This window comes from Homo sapiens, chromosome 9, assembly GCF_000001405.40.
Source record: "Homo sapiens chromosome 9, GRCh38.p14 Primary Assembly".
Taxonomy (NCBI): Eukaryota; Metazoa; Chordata; class Mammalia; order Primates; family Hominidae; genus Homo; species Homo sapiens.
In genome coordinates this window covers 125029109-125054892 of record NC_000009.12, presented here as the reverse complement: position 1 = coordinate 125054892, position 25784 = coordinate 125029109, and the positions used below count along the sequence as shown (strand labels likewise).

The 25784-nt window shown below is 40.5% G+C and overlaps 1 protein-coding gene across 6 annotated transcripts in view, besides 2 other annotated features; it reads left to right on the top strand.

Moving 5' to 3' along the window:
* SCAI (suppressor of cancer cell invasion) overlaps positions 1-25784 on the top strand; it is a 200921-nt gene that overhangs the window by 88636 nt on the left and 86501 nt on the right. For all 6 annotated transcript variants that reach the window (XR_007061282.1, XR_007061281.1, XR_007061283.1 and 3 more), the window contains one exon: positions 25154-25249. Coding sequence is in view for 2 of the 6 variants with exons in the window: in NM_001144877.3 (NP_001138349.1) it covers positions 25154-25249 (96 nt within the window). In the remaining 4 variants the exon portion in view is untranslated. The remainder of the gene's footprint in view (positions 1-25153; positions 25250-25784) is intronic.
* Positions 9955-10468: an enhancer, noted in NCBI's record as "H3K4me1 hESC enhancer chr9:127806704-127807217 (GRCh37/hg19 assembly coordinates)". NCBI's record gives its function as "activates a minimal SCP1, AML or CMV promoter by ChIP-STARR-seq in naive and primed H9 embryonic stem cells {active_cell/tissue: H9 hESC(naive and primed)}" and the evidence as "EXISTENCE:reporter gene assay evidence [ECO:0000049][PMID:30033119]".
* Positions 10469-10981: an enhancer, noted in NCBI's record as "H3K27ac-H3K4me1 hESC enhancer chr9:127806191-127806703 (GRCh37/hg19 assembly coordinates)". NCBI's record gives its function as "activates a minimal SCP1, AML or CMV promoter by ChIP-STARR-seq in primed H9 embryonic stem cells {active_cell/tissue: H9 hESC(primed)}" and the evidence as "EXISTENCE:reporter gene assay evidence [ECO:0000049][PMID:30033119]".

Below are 25784 nucleotides of genomic sequence, written 5' to 3'. Positions count from 1 at the left end.
AAATGAAATGTCCCTAAGAGCAGGCCCCTGTTTGTCACTGTTTCTCTAGTTTTTAAGCCCATGTCTTGCACATTGTAAAGGCTTTGTGAATATTTGTTAAATGGAAGATTCCAAAGGCAGTATTCTTAACTCTTGCACTCTTCTGCTTCCTATTTTATGCTGCAGAGGAGATGTTTGAGATCATGTTTTTCTTTGGCTTTATAAATTAATTGTGTCTTTTTAAAGAATATTTTCTTTCACTATTTTAATTCAGAAGTTTTCCTTGGTATGCCTGGGGTTTAAATCTTTTATTTTCCTGCAATAGATTATTTTAAACCTCTTAAATTTGCATACTTAGACTTTTTTTTTTTCTCTTTGCCTTCCAGGTATATTTTTTTTCTTCAACATTTAATTGGCACCCAGTATGTACCATATTCTGTATTGGGTACGAAAATTCAGAGATAAAGCTAACAGTCCCTGCCCTCAATTACTCTATGAGGAAATTATAAAAAAACAAAACCCAAGGCAAACTTCTGCTCACAGCAAGCCTCAGCTTTAGCACATCCAGTGAACCTATTTCACAGATAGGAACACATATCTGTGTGCCTATTGAAATTAAGTAAGTAAAAAGTTAGAAGAGGCCAGGCGCAGTGGCTCACGCCCATAATCCCAGCACTTCGGGAGGCTGAGGTGGGAGGATCACTTGAGCCCAGGAGTTTGAGATCAGCCTGGGCAACATGGTGAAACCTCGTCTCTACAAAACATGAAAAAATTAGCTGGATATGGTGGTGAGTGCCTCAAGTCACAGCTGCTCGGGAGACTGAGGTGAGAGGATTGCTCAAGCCCAGGAGATCGAGGCTTCAGTGAACTGTGATCACACCACTGCACTCCAGCCTGGGTGACAGAGCAAGACCCTTAACCAAAAAATAAAAACAAAATCTTAAAGGGATTATAGATTTAAAGGTAGGAAGGCATTTAAAAGCTTGCATTTAAATCCCTTGTGTAACTTCTGGCACATGGGCTCTCAAACTTAAAACACTGACATAGTTATAATAGCTCGGACCCCATTTTTTTGAGACAGTTTTATGGAGCTATATTTATATACAATAAAATTTGCCCATTCAAAGTTTACAGTTGAAAAGTTTGGTATGTTTGCAGAGTTGTGCAGCTGTTAGTACGGTTTAATTTTAGATCATTTTAATCACCCCCAAAAGAAATCCGGTTCCTATTAGCAGTGATTCTACATTCTTCCAAATCCTAACCCCTGACAACCACCAATCTAATTTTTTTCTCTATGGATTTACCTATTTTGGATATTTTATATATTAATTAATTGGAATCATACAATATGTGGTCTTCTATCATGGACATCTTTTGTTAACATAATGTTTTTGAGGTTCATCTGTGTTATAGCACATATCACTACTTTTATTAGTGATTAATATTCCATTGTAAGGATTTATCACAATTTGTCCAGTCATCAGTTGATAGACATTTGAGTTTTTTGGCTATCAAGAATAATAGTCCTGTGAACATTTGTATACAAGTTTTTATGTGAGCGTAGGTTTTCCTTTTTTTTGAGACAGAGTGTTGCTCTTGTCGTCCGGGCTGGAGTGCAATGACACGATTTTGGCTTACTGCAACCTCCGCCTCCTGGGTTCAAGCAATTTTCCTGCCTCAGCCTCCCGAATAGCTGAAATTACAGGTGCCTAACACCACGCCCAAGTAATTTTTGTATTTTTGGTAGAGACAGGTTTCACTATGTTGGCCAGGCTGGTCTTGAACTCCTGACCTCAGGTGATCCACCTGCTTCGGCCTCCCAAAGTGCTGGGATTACGATTCTCTTGGCCATATACCAAGGAGTAGAATTCCTGGGTCATATAGTAATTCTGTGTTTAACCTTTTGAGGACCTGCCAAACTGTTTTCCAAAGTGGCCTCATCACCAGTAATGTGTTCTAGTTTCTCCTCATTCTCATCAACACTTACTATTTTCTGTCTTTTTGATTATAGACATGCTACTGGATGTAAATGGTGTCTCTTGGTGGTTTTGATTTGAATTTCCCTAATGTTGGGCATCTTTTTATGTGCTTGTTAGCGATTTCTGTTTCTTCTTTGGGAAAGTATCTGTTCTAATTCTTTGACCAGTTAAAAAATTGAATTATTTTTAAAATTATTAATTTATAATTGTTTATATATTCTGGATACAAGTCCCTTGTAAGATGTATGATTTGCAAATATATATTCTCTTATTCTGTGGATTGTCTTTTACTTTCTTTCTTTCTTTTTTTTGAGATGAAGTTTTGCTCTTGTCCCCCAGGCTGGAGTGTGATGGTGCGATCTTGCTCACTGCAACCTCCGCCTCCTGGGTTCAAGTGATTCTCCTGCCTCCAAGCGATTCTCCTGCCTCCAAGCGATTCTCCTGCCTCGGCACCCACCGCCCCCCTACCCCGAGTAGCTGGGATTACAGGTGCCTGTCACCATGCCCGGCTAATTTTTGTATTTTTAGTAGAAACGGGATTTCACCATGTTGGCCAGGCTGGTCTAGAACTCCTGACCTCAGGTGATCCACCCGCCTCGACCTCCCAAAGTGCTGGGATTACAGGCGTGAGCCACCGCAAACCGGCATGTCTTTTACTTTCTTAATGATATCCTTTGAAGCACAAATGTTTTTAATTTTAATAAAGTTAAACTTATCATTCTTTTCTTTCATTGCTTGTACTTTTGGTATTGTATCTAAGAAATCATTGCCTAACTTAAGGTCATTAAAATGTACTCCCGTGTTTTTTTCTAAGAGTTTTATACTTTTAGCTCTTACATTTAGGTCTGTGATCCATTTTGAGTTCTTTTTATTTTAATTAATTTTTTTGAGATGGAGCCTTGCTTTGTCACCCAGGCTGGAGTGCAGTGGCATGATCTCGGCTCAGTGCAGCCTCTGCCTCCCGGGTTCAAGCAGTTCTCCTGCCTCAGCCTCCCTAGTAGTTGGTGCCACCACACTGTATTTGTTTTAGTAGAAACGGGATTTCACCATGTTGGCCAGGCTGGTCTTGAACTCCTAACCTCAAGTGATCCGCCTGCCTTGGCCTCCCAAAGTTCTGGGATTACAGGCATGAGCCACCATTCCCAGCCCATTTTGAGTTAATTTTTGTGTATGGAGTGGAATGTTAGTTTTATGTTATTTTTTAAATCAGAAAAACATTTCCAATTGTTTTGATTATTGCATATTTTTCATTTTTTCTTTTTAAACATTGATACATAATAATTTTACATATGTATGGGGTACATGTGATATTTTGATACATACATACCATTGTAATGATCACATTATGGATTTGGGATATCCATCACTTCAAACATTTATCATTTATTTGTGTTGGGAACATTTTAAATCTGCTCTTTGAGCTATTTTGAAATATAAATCTTATATCCCAGGTATAGAGTCGTATCTTTCTAAGGTGCTGTTTTAAAATTTTACAATACTAATAATGATAAATTTTGATCTGTCACCTGGAAGAGTGGATAAGCAAATATACCACAGATATATTTTCAGTGTTTTATTGAGTGACCCTCTTCAATTTAAATAAGATATAATTGGCTGGGCATGGTAGCTCACGCCTGTAATCCCAGCACTTTGGGAGGCTGAGGCAGGCAGATCACCTGAGGTCAGGAGTTCGAGACCAGCCTGGCCAACATGGTGAAACCCCATCTCTACTAAAAATACAAAAATTAGCCAGGCGTGGTGGCACACACCTGTAATCTCAGCTACTCGGGAGGCTGAGACAGGAGAATCGCTTGAAGCTGGGAGGCGGATGTTGCAGTGAGCTGCGATCACACCACTGCACTCCAGCCTGGGTGACAGAGCAAGACTCTGTCTCTAAGTAAATAAATAAATAAATAAGCCATAATTATTTATACAAAAATAGGTCTGTGGTGAGCAAACTATATATCTTCTCTGAATGCTTTTGGATTTTTGTTTGAGAGAGATGTGGTTGTCCAGTATAGCAGCCGTATTGTTTTCTTTTTTTTGTTTATATAAATGAAAGTATCTCCAGGAGCAGTGGCTGATACCTGTAATCCCAGCACTTTGGGAGGCGAAGGCAGGAGAATCACTTGAAGCCAAGAGCTCTAGACCAGCCTGGCGACATAGGAAGACTCCATCTACCAAAAATTTAAAAATTAGCTGGGTGTGGTGGTGTGTGCCTTTAGTCCCAGCAACTTGGGAGGCTGAGGTGGGAGGGTCACTTGAACCCGGGGGTTTGAAGCTGCAATGAGCTATGTTATGCCACTGTACTCCAGCCTGGGCAATGCAGTGAGACCTTGTCCCTTTTATAAAAAGAAAAGAGAAAAAAGTGTTCTTTGTTCAATATTAGACCTTGATTATAAAGGGCTGTCTTTATCAGTTTTGTAGGCCTTCCTTAAAGTTCCCTGTGGTGGTGGGTTGGAGGTGTGTATTGGCATTCTTGTCTACACTACTCTCCCTGTTTCCTGCGTAAAGAAGATCTTTGAGTTTTGTTAATCAGAAACCTCTTTTCTTTCGAGTGTTGATGTTGCTTTATGAGCATTTCTTGAGAAAGGGACAAGATTTATTTTGGAATAATTATAAGGTTTTTTTGGTTGCTATCCCCCTGCGCCCACCTCCACCCCCTTATTTAAATTGGTCTGAGTAGGTCTATGGCCCTTATAGAGAAGAAGAAATGTATTGGTAGTGGTCTGGACCAGCATTGGCATTTGGGGAAATGGAATGAAGTGGGATCCAGCTGGAATAGTGTCAGTTTTTAATATTAAGCCCTTTCCCTCTAGCATTTTTTTCACTGTTAGTGCTTGTCTTTTTTTTTTTCTCCTTTTCCACATGTTGTAACATGTTTTTCTTTTTGCTTGCTTTCTTCAATTCATGTACTGTGTCTTAAACTTATTACTGAAGTATAATTGACTGCGGAAAAGTGCACATGCTGTAAGTGTGTTTTTAAGAAACTGAATACATCCATGTGACTTGTATTCAGATGAAGAAGTAGCACACACAGCACCTCAGAAACCTCCCCTGTTGTGTTCCCTGTTACTTGGACTTTTTAACTCATTATGAGCAGAGTGAAAAAGGGCATTTCAGTGCATGAAAGGTTTCAGATTTTTGTATCATGTCTCATTTGGGATATAATAGATTCTCTTTTTACGCTTGGAGGTGTGTCTTTCCACATTATATTAAGCTGTTCATCTAAGTTGTCAGAGCCTTTCATTTTCCCAGCTGTGAATATCTTAATGGAGTATTTTTCTCAACTGAAAATACCTTCTTATAATATGTGCATAATAGTTTATCTCTTATTTCCACTCACTGTGTAAGAAAACATAATCCAGAAAAATAAGAATTGGATGAAATGAATGATGTTTCGCATATAATGGCTCTTGCATGTAGTTGCAATAATAATGAAGTGAGAATAATGTTAGAAAAAGCTTTGAATACTGTCAGAAAATGATCAAAAGCCCAAGTGCTTGCAGGGTTCTGGTTGCCATGGTGACTAAGACTGTCGAAGCAGAATGGAATACTTAGTGAGATTATATAAGGCAGCATCTCGAGACATGTATTTGAGAAACACAGCTGTGTCTATCAGTGATATCCCTAACTTGCAGTGTTTTGCAAAAGCAGAGGCCTCCAAGTCACTAATTATTTGACTACAGAGGAGCAAATACACAAAGCCAAAGAAGGCTTGGGAGGCCACTGATAGTATATATAATATTATTATTATAGTACATATAATAGTATATATTGTGTGAGTGTGTGTGTATATGTATATTTTTAATTGGGAGGTGCCCCAAAGTGAAGTGTACTAGTCTTAAATGAAAATAATTACAGAAATTATTTTTATTAAATATGCTCCTAGCCAGGTGCGGTGGCTCACGCCTGTAATCCCAGCACTTTGGGAGGCTGAGGCAGGCAGATCACCTGAGGTCAGGAGTTTGAGACCAGTCTGACCAACATGGAGAAACCCCATCTCTACTAAAAATACAAAATTAGCCGGGCGTGGTGTCACATGCCTGTAATCCCAGCTACTTGGGAGGCTGAGGAAGGAGAATCGCTTGAACCTGGGAGGCGGATGTTGTGGTGAGCCGAGATCACGCCATTGCCTCCAGCCTGGGCAACAAGAGCGAAACTCCATCTCCAAAAATAAAATAAAAATAAAATTAAATAAATAAATAAATAAATAAATATGCTCCCAGTATTCAACTTAAGAAAGTTTCTATAATGCTTCCTTTAGAAGCCTGTTTTTAGGATTCCCTTTTTCCTAAAATGGACAACTGAGAAATTAACAGTTTGTTCCATTGACCCCTTCTTCCCCTCCCCTGCCCTTTTCTTCTTCTTCTTCTCTTTTCTTCTTTCCTCCCTCTTCTCCTTCTCCTTCTTCAGAAAATTAATATTCTCTTAGAGGCTAGTTCTGCAAACTGGTAATGGCAAGTTTATTGTTATTGAAATAAATAACCATGTTATTTTAGAGATTATACCCTAAACTGTCTGTACAAGCTTGTGATATAGGCTGTCATTTTATATGGCTTACCACCAGAAGAATTGGACTTGCCTTTGAGGTAGACTGCCACCAGAGTACAGTAGGTATCTTGATCACATGCTCTTGAACATCATTGATTGACTAGGCTGGGCATAGTGGCTCTTGCCTGTAATCCCAGCACTTTGGGAGGCTGAGGTGTGTGGATCACTTGAGGTTAGGAATTTGAGCCCAGCCTGACCAACATGGTGAAACCCCATCTCTACTAAAAATACAAAATTAGCTGGGCATGGTGGCACATGCCTGTAGTCCCAGCTACTTGAGAGTCTGAGGCAGGAGAATTGCTTGAACCTGAGCAGCAGAGGTTGCAGTGAGCCGAGATCACGCCATTGCATTCCAGCCTGGGCAACAAGAGTGAAATTCCATCTCAAAAAAAAACAAAAGAAAAGAAAATCAATGACTAATAGAAATTTAATATAAGCCACAAATGTTATTTTAAATTTTCTAGCCACATTAAAAAATAAAAAGAAACAAGTGAAATTAATTTTAATAATATTTGATCCAATAAATAAAAAATATTCTACTTCATCATAAATCGATAGAGAAATATTAGTGATATTTTACATTGTTTTTTATACTAAGTCTTTGAAACACAGTGAGTATTTTATACTTACATACATTTCAGTTCAGATTAACTACATTCAAGTGCTTAGTAGCCATGTGTGGCTGTTTGCTCAGGCAAAATTCCTCCCAGTTTTAGTTTCTGTTCTCATAATGGCTGACTGTGCTTTCTCGTGAATCCATATTGGCTATTTTGGGGTTGTCTTCTTCACTGGTCCATGAGGTGTTCCCAGTTTTGCTTTCTTTGTCTCCTCCAACATAGATGCTAATAGCTTGCAGGTCTTTTGGCTGTTGGTAATTTGTCTCCAACCACCTGGGATTTGATGGTTACCATATTACTGTATCAGTTTGCTATGGCTGCCATAACAAGGTGCCATAGACTGAGTAGCTTAAACAACAGAAATGCATTTTCTCACAGTTCTGGAGGCCGGAAGTCCAAGATCAAGGTGTCAGCAGGTTCAGTTTGTTCTGAGCCCTCTCTCCTTGGATTGCAGATGGATGCCTCCTTCCTGTGCCCTCACATGGTCATCTTTGCATGCATTTGTGCCCTGGCGCCTCTTTGTATGTCCTAATGTCTTCTTCTAAGGACGCAACTCATATTGTATTAAAACCTTCCCTAAAGGCTTCTTTTTAATTACCTCTTTAAAGGCCCTATCTCCAGATACAGTGAAATTCTGAGATACTGGGAGTTAGAGGTTGAATGTACGAGTTTTGGGAATAACAATTCAGCCCATAACCCTTGGTTTTATTGAAATGTTACCAGTGGGTTTTGCTTTATTATCTGTTTGTTCTGCCTGTGTTGGGAAGGTATCTGAATAGATTCAATACTATGCTGTCACCATTTCCCCAGAATCTAGAAAATTAGCTATTTAAATGCTATGCTAAAATATTAAACAATAAAATAGATGAATATATTCTATTATAATATAATATATTCTATCAAAGTCCATATAACCAGGTCTTATATGTTAGCTCCCTCTAAGATCTTGTCAGGTCTTACTAGAAACATAGAGCATCTTCCCCTTTAAAGTTGCTGGTAGAAGCTGGATCGGGAATTGGTTAGGGGAGAGGTAGTTGTAGTTAGTTTTTTTTTTTTTTTAAATTTCAGTAGTTTTTTGGGGAACAGGTGTGTTTGGTTACATGAATAAGTTCTTTAGTAGTGATTTATGAGATTTTGATGCACCCATCACCCAAGCAATATACACTGTACCCAATGTGTAGTCTTGTTCCTCACGCCCCTCCTACCCTATCGTGAGAGTCCCAAAAGTCCATGTGTCATTCTTATGTCTTTGTATCCTCATACTTTAGCTTCCACCTATGACTGAGAACACATGATGTTTGGTTTTCCATTCGTGAGTTACTTAACTTAGAATAATGGTCTCCAATTCCTTCCAGGTTGCTGCAAATGCCATTATTTCATTCCTTTTATGGCCTATCTCATATATATATACACACACACACATATATATATGTGTGTGTGTGTGTGTATATATATATGAGATAGGCCATAAAAGGAATGAAATATATATATGTGTGTGTGTATATATGTGTATATATATGTATATATATGTGTGTGTGCATATATATATATATATATATATATATATCTCACAATTTCTTTATTCACTTGTTGATTGATGGGCACTTGGGCTGGTTCCATATTTTTGCAATTGCAAATTGTGCCATTATAACCATGTGTGTGCAGGTATCTTTTTTATATAAATGACTTCTTTTCCTCTGGGTAGATACCCAGTAGTGGGATTGCTGGATCAAATGGTAGTTTTACTTTTAGTCATTTAAGGAATCTCCACACTGTTTTCCATAGTGGTTGTACTAGTTTACATTCCCACCAGCAGTGTAAAAGTGTTCACTTTTAACCACATTCAATAGTGGTTAGTTTTTAAGATTCTTCAGGAGGGGTATAGAGAGAAAATTAAAAAGATATGTTAAGAACCCTGAAGAATTCATTAAATCCTCAAAACAATGTCATTAGTGTCTATTATTTTGGTTCTACAGATGAGAAAAACAAAGCTTTGCCAGTTAAAGTCATAGCCTATGTTAATGTGATAGATTATAATTTGAGAAGTGCTACTTCCGAGAAGTTTTTCCTCAATTTAGGAGTAAGGATTCCAAACACAGACGAATGTTTGACTCTAAGAATAGAGGCAGGCCAGGCACAGCGACTCATGCCTGTAATTCCAGCACTTTGGGAGGCCAAGGCCAGAGGATTGCCTGAGCTCAGGAATTTAAGACCAGCCTGGGCAACAAAGTGAGACCCCGTCTACAAAATAAAAAATATAGCTGGGTGTGGTAGTGCATGCCTGTAGTCCAGCTGCTCAAGAGGTTGAGGTGAGAGGATTGCTTGAAGCCAGGAGTTCAAGACCAGCCTGAGCAACACAGTGAGACCTCATCTCTATAGAAAATTTTAAAAATTAGCTGGCCAGATGCAGTGGCTCATGCCTATAATCCCAGCACTTTGGGAGGCTGAGGTAGGCAGATCACTTGAGGCCAGGAGTTTGAGATCATCCTGGCCAACATGGCGAAACCCCATCTCTACTAAAAACACAAAAATTAGCCAGGCATGGTGGTGCATGTCTAAAAATGTCACAGGATCCTTAGGGTGTTATTTTTCCAGCCAGAAACCTCTGTGGCTAGTGGCACCTTTGCCCGAGTTTTGCTTGGGCTCACTGGGCTTGTTCCCGCTACTCAGCCTGGCAGGTTGTGCTTGACTTATGCTACTGGCTCAGATCCCACACCTGCCAAGGGTAGGCCAGGTATGGAGCAGCGAGGGGTGTGTTAGCGAATGGGCATGGGGTCTGGCCACTGTGCACAGCCAAGCAAGCTAGCTGCCGTGGTGGGGCAGGCATCTCCAGGCACTGGCGCCATGCAAGGTTGCAGCTGGATTAGATGTGCCTCAAGCAGCTTCCACTGCAGGCACCCACATCTGGACGAGGGGAACATGGTGGTGGTGCCCAGAAGCTTGGAGATGCCAGGAACCACAAGCCCCAAAGAGGATGTCACAACCCTGGCTCAGGGAGCCCATAGGTCTGAACTCCCAAAGGGCCTCAGCTCTTTCCTTCTCATTGCCTACAACGTGGCGAGCAAGGGGGCATGTTTCAGCCCTGTTTGTGTTACCATTTTTTGAGTACCAGAATTTGCCAGGTCCTGAGTTCTTGTCCTGCGCCCAGGAAGAATGAGGTATGTGGACAACTGGAGGGTGAACAAGGTGGAGAGGAGCTTCATTCAGTGACAGAAGAGCTCTCAGGAGACCCCTAGTAGGTAGCTCCTTTCTGCAAGCAGGTTGTCCAGGCAAGTGTCCAGCTCTTAGCAGAGAGGAGACCTGTAGTAGTTGCTCCTTCCTGCAGGTGGATCATCCCAGCAAGTGTCCAGCTCTCAGCAGAAAGGAGTGGGTAGCTCCTTTCTGTAGGCATGTCATCCCACAGAGGGTATGAGTCTGGCTGTCTGGGGTTATTTTGTGCTCTGAATGGTGGAAGTGTGTGCTGATTGGTCCATGGGAGGCCACGGATGGGCCTGGAAAAAGCACCTCGAGTTCTCACTCTGGGCCATGGACTTCAACCAGAACTGGCAGCCTTATCCCCCCAGGCCCGCCTCCCATGCTCGTCATTACCCAAAGTCTGGAGAGGGCTGAGGCAGCAGGGGGCTTGTGAATCAGTGCCGTCATGAGCACACCCAGTCAGTTGTGACAGGTCCCAGGCTTGGCCACAACTTTGCTCCACCCCAGAGTGGGTGCCAGGAGCTGGGAGAGGCCAGGGAGCAGGAGCAGGTACTTTCAAGCATGTGGGGGCAGGGAGCTTCTTAAGACCCTGAGAACACAGGGAAGCATGGGTCCAAAGCTGCAGCTGGGTAGCTGCAGCTGCACCCAGGAGCGCTGGGCTCCCACCCCTCCAACTCAGTAGGTGGCCCGGCTTCCACCTGTTCCTGGCCTCCACCCATTCTGTGGAGCATGCAGCCCTGGCCACAACTTCCCCACTGCAGTCGGCATCCCTGCAGCAGCTGCTCCAGATGGGCTGCCACCACCATCATAATCCCAGCTACTTGAGAGGCTAAGGCGTGAGAATCGCTTGAACCTGGGAGGGAGAGGTTGCAGTGAGTGGAGATCGCACCACTGTACTCCAGCTTGGACAACAGAGTGAGACCCTGTCTCAAACAAAAATATTAGCTGAGTGTGGTGCCATGCACCTGTAGTCCCAGCTACTCAGGAGGCTGAGGCAGGAGAATTGCTTGAGCCCAGGAGTTTGAGGCTGCAGTGAGCTATGATCATGTCATTGCACACCGGCCTGGAGGAATAGAGTGAGACCATGTCTTTAAAAACAAAGAACAACAAAAAACCACTGGGTCTACCAATGGGTAAAAGCAAATACTGGTGCTAAACAAGGAAATGCTCAACTGGGCTTTGAAGTCTCAAATGCAGTTTGGTCTCGTATACACATGAACACAGAAACATGGTTTGGAACAAAGATGTCCCAGTAATATAGTCCTCTGTGTTTAAACAAGAATATGTGAGTCGGACAGTGTGCTCTTTGACTGAAAACCTGATTCAGAGAAGTTGGCTTATTCCTTTGCCTTTGACCACAGCTTTGTTGGAGGTCAGCAGCATCCTAAGAGCCAGGGAGCAGGCCAGGCACAGTGGCTCACGCCTGTAATTCCAGCACTTTGGGAAGCCAGGGCAGGTGGATCACTTGACGTCAGGAGTTCAAGACCAGCCTGGCCAACATGGCGAAACCTCATCTCTACTAAAAATACAAAGCAATTAGCCAGGCATGGTGGCAAATGCCCATAATCCCAGCTACTCAGGAAGCTGAGGCATGAGAATCGCTTGAACCTGGGAGGTGGAGGTTGCAGTGAGCCAAGATCATGCCACTGCACTCCAGCCTGGGTGAAGTGAGACTCTGTCAAAAAAAAAAAAAAAAAAAAAAAAAAAAAAGCCAGGGAGCAGAATGTGGTCCCAGAAAAGAACTAACAACTTTACTTGCGTACAAAATCTAGGTGGTTATTCCATATGGTGGAAAAGAGCATTGGATTAGGAGGTAGAAGGTTTGAATTTGAATCATAGCTCTACAGCTTACTGGCCATAATTCCTAAGTAACTTCCTGTATGTATGTTTCTTTTTGTATATGTGTGTGTGTGTGTGTGTGTGTGTGTGTGTGTACACACACACACACACACATACTCTGGTGGAAGCCATGCATTTAGGGACTGGACTAAGGAAAGAGAAGTTAATGGAAGAGATTGTAAGGACAGAAAAAAGAGTTACAAGATGGTGAGAAAGTGGTGAACAGTGTAATGCCATAGAGAGGACTGATAAAGAAGGGACTGAAAGATGCCCCTTGGACTTGGATTTTAGGTGTACGTAGGGATCAATGATCTTAGCTAATTCAGTTTAGTAAAGATGGGGGATTTACAGGAAATTTACAGAGATTTCCTGAGTTTTGATATCTCAACGTTATATTTGAAACATCCCTGATAATCAGGTTTAATTATTTGCACTGCATTTCTTCCTACCATAGTCTCCTGAGTTCTACTGATAGAACTGAGGATTTCAATAAAGAGAGATTAGTGTCATACTTTTACTTTCCTCCAAAATCTTGGAAAAAAGAATATGATTAGCTAATTCATAACATAGCTGCCTTTGCAAAATGTGAAATATAAGGTCACTTAAATTATGGGGTAATTCAGAGCCCTATTTAATTTAATTCTATGGACCATTAATTTCCCATCTTTGCTGACAGTAATAATGACCAAATGATATATTCAGAGTTTAAAATCAGAGTCAAGCTCTGAGTAGTAGAGGAGTTTTTTTTGAAACTCTTCATAGAGTACCTTAGTTAATTTTAGATGCTGATCATATAGTGGTTCGTATATTAACTTCTGTGATATGTCTCATTAGAAAAAGGATGATCATAGGAGTTTTCCTATGGACAAATTTTAAAAAATTTAAACCCTATTTTGAAAAAGAAACTGGTGTCTTTATAACTGATTTAGACTGGAATAGTAGATGTTCTAAATTCTTTTGAGGAAAATAGTATAGAAGTTAGCCAATGTTGTTCATAGCTATAAATCAGAAAATATTTATATATTACAGCTTACTGTTAGGAGCCCTAGTATAGCATTTTAGATCACTTTTTATGTACTTTTAGCCTGCGTACGAAGTCCTGTTCCTTTATAACCCTTTTTACTTGACACCTGAAATAAAACACTGGCTTCTAGTTCTGTTTTCTCCCTTAACAGGATGTATTACTGAGATTTATTAATTTTATCAGTTTTGGAAACTCAAAGGAACTTGCAGGCAAGTGCTTACTTGAAAAATTGCCTAAAGACTTTAGATAGTATCCTTAATGAAACACAATAATTGTCAGTTGTCACAAAGTTGGTGTTGCTGACAAATGCTTGTACATAATAATACAATCTTCCTAACAGCAGCAGCTTCATAAGAGAAAGTTTCTAGCAGCAACTTACATTTAAAAACATCTGATTAGGTCTTCCTGATGTAACCTCTCATTAGAGATCCGTGGAGACATAAAAAAGATGAAAACTTACAATAAATGTGGGAAACTAATATCCACAGTTAACCTATTTCTGTAATCTGAAATGAATTTCAGCTTATAAGGAAAATGGAAATGGATTTTTAAAATGCAGTTTTAAACTTGCTAATTCTTGCTATTGTGCCTGAAAATTTCAGGTAGGAAAATATTTTGCTTTCTTATCCATTAACTTAACATCTGGTACAAAAATGCAGATCTTTTTTCACTCTTCACTTCCACCTACAGAAATTGACCTTTCATTCATATTGTGTAGCTATTCAAATTTATTAGTATGAAGATATTTATTACAGCATTTTTAAAACAGGGAGGCCGGGTGCGGTGGCTCACACCTGTAATCCCAGCACTTTGAGAGGCCAAGACGGCGGATCACTTGAGGTCAGTAGTTCAAGACTAGCCTGGCCAATATGGTGAAACCCCGTCTCTATTAAAAATGCAAAAAAAAAAAAAATTAATTGGACATGGTGGTGTGCACCTGTAATCCCATCTACTCAGGAGGCTGAGTCAGGAGAACGCTTGAACCCAGGAGGCAGAGGTTGCGGTGAGCCAAGATCGTGCCACTGCACTCCAACCTGGGTGACAGAGTGAGACTCTGTCTCTAAATAAATAAATAAATAAACAAAACAGGGAAAAAGTAGAAAGAATATAAATGTTCATCAGGAAGATATTGATTAAATAAGTTGGTTCATTATATACTACTTTGTACACAGTAAATATTGATATAATTCTCTATGTATTAAAGAAACCCGATATATTCTTAAATAGACATGTTGCAGGACATTATATGTAGTTTTATCCCATTGATGTAAAATAATGGAAAAACTCATGTATATACTTAAATGTGCACAGAGAAAGAAATCATTCTTTTTTGTTTGTTTCTTGAGACAGAGTCTCACTCTAACTCACCCAGGCTGGAGTGCAGTGGCACGATTATGGCTTACTGCATGCAGCCTTGACCTCCAGGGTTCAAGCAATCCTCCCACCTCAGCCACCCAAGTAGCTGGGACCACAGGCACCTGCCACCACACTTGGCTAATTTATTGTATTTTCTTATAGAGACGGGCTCTCCCTATGTTGCCCAGGTTGGTCTCGAACTCCTGGATTCAAGTGATCCTCCCACCTCAGCCTCCCAAAGTGCTGGGATTATAGGTGTGAGCCACAGTCCCCTGCCAAAATCATTCTTATTGGTGGTGTTTGTGGGGAATAAAGTTGAAAGGAGAAGCAAGAGAGCATTGTTTTACTTTTTGCTTTATATACTTTATAGTATTTTTGTTTTCTAGAGACTTTTATTATTTTCATAATTGAAAAGGAAAGAAACATAAGGTCTCTGTGATAGATTGTTTGTAAAATGAGTCCCTTCCCTGAATCCATGCTTATTACTAGTTCCCTGTCATACTGCCTCTGGGTTGGGCTAATAGATTTGCTTTGGCCAGTGGGACAGTTGCAGACATAATTCAAATACTTGAAAAATGCACATTAGAGCTTGTCTTCTCTATTGCAAGTCTTAAAACCTTGTAACCAAGCCCTATATAAATAAACCCAAGCTGGTCCTGGACATTTGAGAGAGGCCACAGACCACTAGCTGTCTGAGTTGCCTGAGTGAGATCTGACTGAGACTGGCAGAACTGTCCAACTGAACTCACATCTAATTGCCTACCCATAAAATGATTAGCGACTACATGGTTTTTGTTTTAAGCTTCTAAGTTTTGAAGTGGCTTGTTATGCAGCAAAAGTTAATCGATAAAGTCTCCAGTGGTGAAATCAGCACCTGCCCTTCTGCATTTTTACTGCTTTATGAGATACCCAGATTGCTATTTCTTTCTTTTTCTTTTTCTTTTCTTTTTTTTTTTTTTTTTTTGAGATGGAGTCTCGCTCTGTTGCCAGGCTGGAGTGCAGTGGCGTGATCTTGGTTCACTGCAGCCTCCACTTCCCAGATTCAGGCGATTCTCCGGCCTCAGCCTCCCGAGTGGCTGGGACTGCAGACGCATGCCACCACGCCTAGCTAATTCTTTTGTATTTTTAGTAGAGATGGAGTTTCACCATGTTGGCCAGAATGGTCTGCTCTCTTGACCTTGTGACCTGCCCACCTTGGCCTCCCAAAGTGCTGGGATTACAGGCGTGAGCCACTGCACCCGGCCCCAGATTGCTACTTCTAAAAATTAAGCCGAATGTAAGAGGGGGAAGAAATATTGTCACTGTCACAGTATACATACTGAGAGCTATGAAACCAATGAGTAAAGATCAGTTGGCCGGGTATAAAAAACTTTCAGAAGATTGTCTTCTGTAATAAAATGCCACAGATCATGGCTTCTGTGAAAGAGCATAGAACTATAAGGAGATAACAGGCTAAGGTTAAATAAAGCAAGAAAGATGTTCAGGAAAGCAAAAACGCAGTAGCAGGATTAAAATTCACATCAAAGACAATAGAGTAGAACTGATACTTAGACAAGATGCTGCACCTCAGGGTGATGTGACTGCAGACTGATCCTACCAGTACTTCAAAACATTTAGCTAGTGATATTCAGGAAGAACTGCAGATGATCTCTCAGTATCCTGAGAAAATGATAAATATGAAGTCAAGAGAATGAAGATGACACAACTGAATAATTACCAATATTTTTGATGGAGAATTCAGAAAAGTTGTAATGGAAAAAGTAAAGATGAAATTTTAAAAAACATTTTACAGCATTTGGAAAACATCTAGGTAAGCAGATCAAGAAGACATATTCAGAAAACATGCTGGTTTGGGGGAAAAATTATTTGGAGACACACAGCTGCTGGCCAAGAAACAGCAGCTCAAAAGGAAATCATAAATTAGATATCATGGTATTACAGGCTTGGTGAACTACCGATGTACACTGCACCCAGTTTATCTCAAGAAAAACATTTTAACAAAACATAGCAGGTTGAGCTAGCCACACTGATAGGCCTTGTTTTGTGGCTTTCTCAATGATGCTTTAAAAGGAAACAGTTTCATTTGAATTATTTCTTTTCTTTTTTTGAGGTAGGGTCTTGTTGGACTGCAGTGGCGCAATCTTGGCTCACTGCAGCTTTGACCTCCTGGGCTCAATTGATCCTCCCACCTCAGCTCCCCGAGTAGCTAGCACTACAGGCCTGTGCCACCATGTCTGGCTAATTTGTGTATTTTTTTGTAGAGACAGGGTTTTGCCATGTTGCCCAGGCTGGTCTCGAACTCCGGGCTCAAGTGATCTGTCCGCCTTGGCCCCTCAAAGTGCTGGGATTACAGGCATGAGCCACTGCACTGACCTGTTATTTCTTATTTTGATGGCCCCAAAAATGGGCACAAGTAATTCTTTTTTTTTTCCTGAGATGGAGTTTCACTCTCGTCGCCCAGGCTGGAGTGCAGTGGCACAATCTCGGCTCACTGCAACCTCCGCTTCCCAGGTTCAAGCAATTCTCCTGTCTCAGCCTCCCAAGTAGCTGGGATTATAGGCGTTCGCCACCAGACCCAGCTAATATTTTGTATGTTTAGTAGAGACGGGTTTTCACCATGTTGGTCAGGCTGGTCTCAAACTCCTGACCTCAAATGATCCGCCCGCCTTGGCCTCCCAAAGTGCTGATATTACAGGCTTGAGCCACTGTACCCGGCCAAGAAATTCTTCTATAAAACCCTTTCAGATCACTAATAGTCTTAGACAGCCAATGAAACAGAAATACAATTTCCTTATTTAAGGTGACAAAACAAATATGACCAGGAAACAGTCTGGCAAGAAATACACTAAAATATTAAATGGAATTGGTTAGGTCATGGGATTGTTCTTTTTCAACTTGTACTTTTTTTTCTTCTTTCTTTTCTTTTCTTTTTTTTTTTGTAGGGATAGAGTCTTACTACATTGCCCAGGCTGGTCTTGACCTCCTTGGCTCAAATGATACTCTCCCTTCAGCCTCCCAGGGAGCTGTGACCATAGGCATGTAGTCCTACCAGGCCTGGCTAATTTTTTTTTTTTTTTAATCGACAAAGTTTTGCTCTTGTTGCCCAGGCCTGGAGTGCAGTGGTGCGGTCTTAGCTCACTGCAACTTTTGCCTCCCAGTTTCAAGCAATTCTCCTGCCTCAGCCTCCCAAGTAGCTGGGATTATGGGCGCCTGCCACCACTTCTGGCTAATTTTTGTCTCTTTAGTAGAGACAGGGTTTCACCATGTTGGCCAGGATGGTCTCGAACTCCTGACCTCAGGTGATCAGCCTGCCTCGGCCTCCCAAAGTGCTGGGATTACAGGCGTGAGCCACTGCACCTGGCCTGCCTGGATAATTTTTTTAAAAATGTTTTGAAGAGGTAAGGTCTCTCCATGTTTCCCAGTGTGGTCTTGAACTTCTGGGTTCAAGTGCTCTTCCCGCCTTAGCCTCCCCAAGTGTTGGGACTACAGGCATGAGCCATCATGCCCGGCTACTTTTTTCTTAATGTATTTATTTAAAACTTCTTTTTCAAAACAGCATATTTATATGCATACATGCACAGTTATATGCTTGTAAGTAAATAAAGGTCTTCACAATGAAGACCTAGGTTATTTGGAATAGAAGTGGAGGAGACTTACTCTATACATACCTTTTGTGCTCTTTGAATTTTATACTATGTATATAAATTACCAATTCAAAAAATGAATTAAAATATAACTCATAATTTAAAAAACATGAGTTTTACAAGGTGAAATAATATAAAAGGGCTTACACTATGAAGTAGTATTGGCTAAAACATCCCTCTCACCTGGAGTCCTCATTTTTCAGAGGCAATCACTTTTGACTCTTTCTGATTTTAGTTTTCCTGGCATTTACTTTCATTTCTCAAATATACTTTTATCACTCTTTCTTCGTTTATTAATTTATACATTCTCCTTTGATATCCTGCCACAATAAATGAAGACTTCATTTACCCAAAAGCTACTCTTTTCCCTGCCCCATAGAAATAGTAGCAGGAATAAGAATACTAATAGCAACTAACATTTATTAGTGCTTACTTTGTGCCAGGCCTCTTTCAAGTAATCCACACATACTGTCTAATCCCCACCATACCCTCTGAATTTACGTTACCACTCTTCTCGGTTTTCCCATTATTCATTTTATTTTATTTATTTATTTTTAAGACAGGGGCTCCCTTTGTTGCCCAGGCTGGAGTGCAGTGGTGCAATGATGGCTTATTGCAGCCTCAACCTCCTGGGCTGAAGCAGTCATCCCGCCTCAGCCCCCATAGTAGCTGGGACTACAAGCATGCCCCTGGCTAATTTCTTTTTAAAGTAAAAACAAGTTTATTAGAGAAGTAAAGAAAGAAAAGAATGGCTACTCTGTAGGCAGAGCAGCCCCGAGGGCTGCTGGTTGGCTAATTTTTAAATTTTTTTGTAGAGACAAGGTCTCACTTCGTTGCCCATGCTGGTCTCGAACTCCTGGCCTCAAATGATCCTCCTGCCTTGGCCTCCCAAAGTGCTAGGATTGCAGGCTTGAGTCACTGTGCCTGGCCCATTATTCATTTTATTAATCATATTGTCAACTACTGGCAGCACACGTTTTAAATGCTGATCATAGATGATAGTATTATCTAACTTTTTTGTGTTTTCACTAGGTGCTGTGTATTCTTAGGTCGTTACCTGTATTAACTCAGTAACTCTTGTCATCAAACCTATGGTCTAGGCTCTATTATTATTATCTCCATTTTATAAATGAGGAACTAAGGCATAAAGTTTACTCTGTATAACATTGTGTAGACAATTAGTGGTACCAAGCCAGTCTGACTTCAAAACCCAGTCCTTTAACCCATCCATACACCATATTGATGGTATCCCTTTGATTCCATTTTGTAAGGTAAATTTTCATTCCCACTAGTTCCATCATCTTTTCTATGTTTTCTTTGTTTCTTTGTTTCTTTCATTTTTTCTTTTTTTAAGATAGAGTCTCACTCTGTTGCCCAGGCTGGAGCGCAGTGGTATGATCACAGCTCACTGCAGTCCCGACCTCCTGGACTCTAACGATTCTCCTTCCTCAGACTCTGAGTAGCTGGGACCACAGGTGCATGCCACCACACCTGGCTAATTGTTTCATTTTTGCTAGAGACAGGGATCTCACTTTGTTGCCCTGGCTGGTCTTGAATTTCTGGGTTCAAGCAGTCCTCCCATCTCAGCCTGCCAAAGTGCTGGGATTGCAAGCATTGAGCCACCACACCCAGCCTCTCTTCTTTTCTCATGCTTAGTTTTGGTCAGTTATAGCTTCATGTTTTTATTTCACAGAACATAAACTGTATTTACCATGCTATAATCATAGTTAAATATTTTGTGTTTGATCTATACATGGATTCTAAAAGTTGAAAACAGATAATAAACAACATTTTGACATATAACTATGTAAATATTATACATAGCAAAGCCAGGAGTTGAGAAATGATCTTTCCTTCTCTGTAGTTCCAGTGTATATCTCAAATGAATTCATCCTTAAGTTCACACTCAAATGGATCACTCTTTTTTACACTATTTGTTTTTTGGGTTTGTTTGTTTTGAGACAGGGTCTTGCTATGTTGCCCATGCTAGAGTACAGTGGCATGATCACAGCTCACTGCAGACTTGATCTTCGGGCTCAATGAATCCTCCCGTCTCAGCCTCCTGAATAGCTGGGACTACAGGTGTGTGCCACTACGCCTGGCAAATTTATTTTTTATTTTTTATTTTTGTTTGTAGAGACTGTGTTTTGCCATGTTGTCCAGGCTGGTCTTGAACTCCTGGGCTCGAGCTGTCTACCTGCCTAGGCCTCCCAAAGTGCTGGGACTACAGACATGAACTGCTGTACCCTGCCCTGTTTTTCTTTTGTAACCTCTCTGGGTTGAGTCCTTTCACATGTAGTTCCTTTCTCATGTTTTCTAGGTTCCAGCTTTCTTCATTCTGTTATATGGAAGGCACTAGGCTGGACATTTTCAGTTTGCCCTTCCAGATCTTACCTTTTGCCTCTTCTCCTACCCTGGGAGACTAACATTTATAGGCTGCTCCAACTGATATCTTTGCCCTCTGTCTTCCAGCTGGGCTACACCAATGGAAAGGGTCAGCAGGAGGTTGGAGGGCAGGAGTAGAGTGAGCACAGATGTGTATTTTGCCAGCTCCCTCCCTTAAGTTTTGGGAACTGCCCCCTCCCTCTGCTGCACCAGGCCTAAGGGATAGTAACTTAGCCACAGGTCCTTAAAGTGTTCCTTGTTGGTTTCCCTTGACTCTGTTCACATCTTTGTAGCCTCTTTGTCAAACTCTTCCCAGTGACCCACTTGTGTGTCGTCTATTTCCCGCCAGGATTTTGATTGGTGGGAAGTAATAATATTGATATTTCTTCATATAATAATGATATTTCTTCATCAAATGTTCTTTCAGAAGTTTCTTGAAATGTCTCATCTACTGATTGCCTCCCTCTCTTTTTATTTCTGTATGGAGCCTCGAAAGAGAAGATAAAATTATATGCTCAGTCCATCGTGTATTGCTTTTTTATTTGTATTACTCTTTTTAAAAACAACATCTTTATTGGGATATTCAGATATCTTACAAGTTACCTTTTGGAAGTATACAACTCAGTGGTTTTTAGTATCCTCACAGGTTACGTGCACCCATCACTACAGTCAATTTTAGAACATTCATTATCCCCAAAAGAACCCTGTACCCATTAGCAGTTATTATCTTTACTTTTTAAATGCGGGAAATAAACCTACATAGAAAGACCAGAAAGACTTTATGCTCTTGAACTGTATAAACTGACTCCAGCCTACCTGTTGTACCTTTTGTTGTTGTTGTTGTTGTTGTTGTTGTTATACCTTATTTTCTACTAGTTCCCATAATACATCATTTATTTAATTCAGGCTGTTTTCCTACTTGTGCTACAAAGTGTTATTAACTTATAATTGTCGTTGCTTCTCTTATATATTTTATTTATCTCTGTCTCTGATAATCTCTTAATCTCTTCTTTCTCTTTTGCCTATCCAAATCTTTCTCTTTGTGAAGCATTTCCTGGCTACTCAAGCCTTCCAATATGTACCTTAAACATTTTTCATTTTAATTAATTGATTTTTTTTTTTGGAGATGGAGTCTTGCTGTGTTGCCCAGGCTGAACTTAAACCCCTGGTCTCAAGCAATCTTTCCGCCTCAGCCTCCTGAGTAGCCAATGTGTCCCTTTTCTAAACTCCTTATTACTTTTATTCAGTGTCATGTAATTTAGTACTTATTTGCAGTTTTTTCTACATATGTGATCATATTTTCTGTCTATTACAACCAATAATCCTATTAATTGAAGAGATCAGTTTTCACATTACTTTATATGGCCTTCATAATTATTAGCACTTGATAGAATAATATTAGTAGGCTGGGCGCAGTGGCTCACACCTGTAATCCCAGTACTTTAGGAGGCCAAGGTGGGTGGATCACCTGAGGTCAGGAGTTCAAGACCAGCCTGGCCAACATGGGGAAACCCCTTCTCTACTTAAAAAAATACAAAAATTAACCGGGCGTGGTGACGGGCGCCTGTAATCCCAGCTACTTTGGAGGCTGAGGTAGGAGAATCACTTGAACCCAGGAGGCGGAGGTTGAAGTGAGCTGAGGTCGCGCCACTGCACTCCAGCCTGGGCAACAGAGTGAGACTCCATCTCAAAAAAAAAAAAAAAGCATAATATTAGTAAACAGGTTTTCTCCTTCCATTGAGTGTCTTCACAATATACCTTGCCCAACAGCGAGGTGGGTGACACCAATAGCAAGATATCCCAATGGTGCAAAAGGAAAGCTAACCAGAGGCCGGGCATGGTGGCTCACACCTGTAATCCCAGCACTTTAGGAGGCCGAGGCGAGTGGATCACCTGAGGTCAGGAGTTCGAGACCACCCTGACCAACATGGCGAAACCCCGTCTGTACTAAAAATACAAAAATTAGCCAGGCGTGGTATCGTGTGCTTGCAGTCCCAGCTACTCAGAAGGCTGAGGCAGGAGAATCACTTGAACCCGGGAGGTGGAGGTTGCAGTGAGCCGAGATCGCGCCACTGCACTCCAGCCTGGTGACAGATAGAGACTCCATCTCAAAAAAAAAAAAAAATATATATATATATATATATATATATTCATTTTACTATTAAACATTTGAGTGTTTTCTCTGTTCTAAATATTTCTATAGGCATTTTAGTTATAGGGATCAATATAAATATAGCCTGTACTTCTTTTCTTAATTGAAAATAGTGCTAATGGTGGTCATAGGGGTACTGATTGAGACAGAGTTGAACTAGCACAACAAAGGTAGACAGATAAACTTAGAGAAAGGAGTAGGGGGCCCAGAAACAAGAACATGTATTTTATCTGGCAACCCTAAATAGAAGAGACTGGCTCTAAATTGATAAGCTGTGAATCTGCTGATGGTACCTAGGGGTCATTGTACTGTTCTCTCTACTTTTGTGTATGTTTGAAATTTTCCATCATAAAAAAATTAAAAGATACAACTTAAAAAATAGAGATACCTTTCACAAAAACAATGAAAATATGAGACCTTACAGTAATGTGAACCAGGAAATATAGGACCTTTATGGAAAGAGTTATAAATGTATTTAATGACAATGTTTGTACCATAAATGGAAAGAAATGCTATTGACAAAATTAGAAAAAATACGAATTCCCCAAATTGATCTCTAGATTTATTCATTTACCACTAAATTCAATGAATTTATTGCTCCTTTATTTTTTTAAAAAAGTGGCCGGGCGTGGTGGCTTATGCCTGTAATCCCAGCACTTTGGTAGGCTGAGGCAGGTGGATCAGGAGATCAGGAGATCGAGACCACAGTGAAACCCTGTCTCTACTAAAAATACAAAAAATTAGCCGGGCGTGGTGGCAGGCACCTGTAGCCCCAGTTACTTGGGAGGCTGAGGCAGGAGAATGGCATGAACCTGGGAGGAGGAGCTTGCAGTGAGCCAAGATCACGCCACTGCACTCCAGCCTGGGCGGCAAGAGCGCGACTCCATCTCAAAAAAAAAAAAAAGTGACCTCAATAGTACAAATCTTGTGAAATGTAGTTGACTCTTTATAATTTGATTCAAGTTAGCTCCATGTACCTGTAGCCATACCCTAAATTCTTTGAGACACGACTGTCTTCTAGACTTTGTTAGAGATACCTTGAGTTTATAAGGTTTCTACAAGACAGCCAAATTCTTAAATTCCTTTCCCAAATCTGTTTTGTCCCACTGAAAAAAGGTACTTGGGGCCATCTCCATCTATTCACAGACTTTAATGAAGAAGTTTTGCCCTCGAAGATGAGGCTGAATTTTAATTGGCATTTATGGATAGCATTTCTCAATTATATATTTTACAGTTATGCATTAGTAATTGTTGTATCTTTCAATCTTGTAAGTTCTTGAATTTGTGGATTTTCTCTTTTTCTTTTCAACTCCGCTTGCAGCTAATTCTTTTCTGAGTTCATCTTTTTCTCATTGTATTTTAAGTGTAGCTAATAGCATCCAGGGCTAGCAACATACTGTTTCCCAACCTCTTTGTATAAATCAACAAGTTCATTAATCGTATTATCTGCTTTCTCAGTTTTCTCAGGCAAATGCAGTGTTACCATTGCATTATATAGGTCATCATTGTTTCCAGCCTTCAGTAACAGTTACTTGCTACTCAGTCGCAATTGCAGGTGTCACATATGTTACATGTTTGTTATGGCAATAACGTACTCCTATTACCAGTTTCTGGACTAGCTTTTCCGAAGTAAGGCTGCTGTAACAACCCTCAAATTGTAGTGCCTTCCTACAGTAAAGATGTGTTTCTAGCTCCCATGTTAGCTACAAGTTGTCTGTGGTTTTGGGGCACTGTTAAATGTGTCTTACTCAGTGTTCCAGGCTGAAGAACAGCCCTATCTTTGTCTTAGGTCAGAGGGAAAATTGAAAATGCTGAAACACTCAGTGCTCTTAATTTTCTCCTAAGATATGATATAAATAACTTACAATTATATTTCATTGGCCAAAGGAAGTTAATACGGCCAGGCCCAATGTTTGTATGGTAGGGAGTATTTGCCTCTCAAAGACTGTACTATAAGTCACCAGGTTCAAGGACAGGGATGTATATTTATCTTATAGGGAGAGGATAGAATAGTGCAGAACAGTAATACCATCTACATATCGATTTCTAGGTATATTTTCTAAAGCAGTGTTTTTCAAACATTCAGCTGAGTTCTTAGCTGAAGATAAACATTTGGAAGTTGTCAGTATATAAGTGAGTGTGAATAAGATCACCGAGGGAGAGGGAAGAGAGGACCAGAAACCTCATGGGAGAAGCATCTGCAAAGAACACTAAGAACGACCTGTCAGAGAAGTAGGGAGGAGAATAGGAAAAGAGCATGTCCTGGACCCTAGTTATAGAATTATTTCTGCTCCAAAAAGTGTAACTTTTTTAAAAAAGAAAGCCTGAATGCAAGCATTTTTCATCTGTCTGGTTTGTACCATCACAAGACATAATTTCCAAATAGAATAAGAAGTTTAATATTAATACATACTCATTTACTATTACAGAGATTTGCCACAATATGGACAGAAGCAGTGGCAGTCCTATTTTGGAAGAACTTTTGATGTTTACACCAAACTCTGGAAGTTCCAGCAGCAGCATCGGTAAATGAATTTTATAGTTAAAGGAGAGTGAAGGCCTGTTTTGTATTAGTCACAGTTTTTATCTTCACTACTTCAGTGCTTTTTGTCTTGGTGCTTTTTCTTTTTTTTCACCAACAAAGCAAAGGTAAATCTTGGTGCTTTTAAAATAACATATTTCATCTTTATAACCCAAATGAAAACAAATTTATTTCTTTCCTATTTATTTAAGATCTTAAAATGTATGGCCAGGCATGGTGGCTCATGCCTGTAATCCCAGCACTTTGGGAGGCCAAGGTGGGAGGATTGCTTGAGCTCAGGAGTTTGAGACCAGCCTTGGCAGCATGGCTAAACCCTATCTCTACAAAATACACAAAAATTAGCCAGGTGTGGTGGTGCTCAGCTGTAATCCCAGCTACTTAGGAGGCTGTGGCACGAGAATCGCTTGAACCCTGAAGTGGGGGAGGTTGCAGTGAGCAGAGATTGCATCACTGCATTCCAGCTTGGGCAACAGAGAGAGACCCTGTCTCAAAAAAGTAAATAAATAAATAAAAATAAA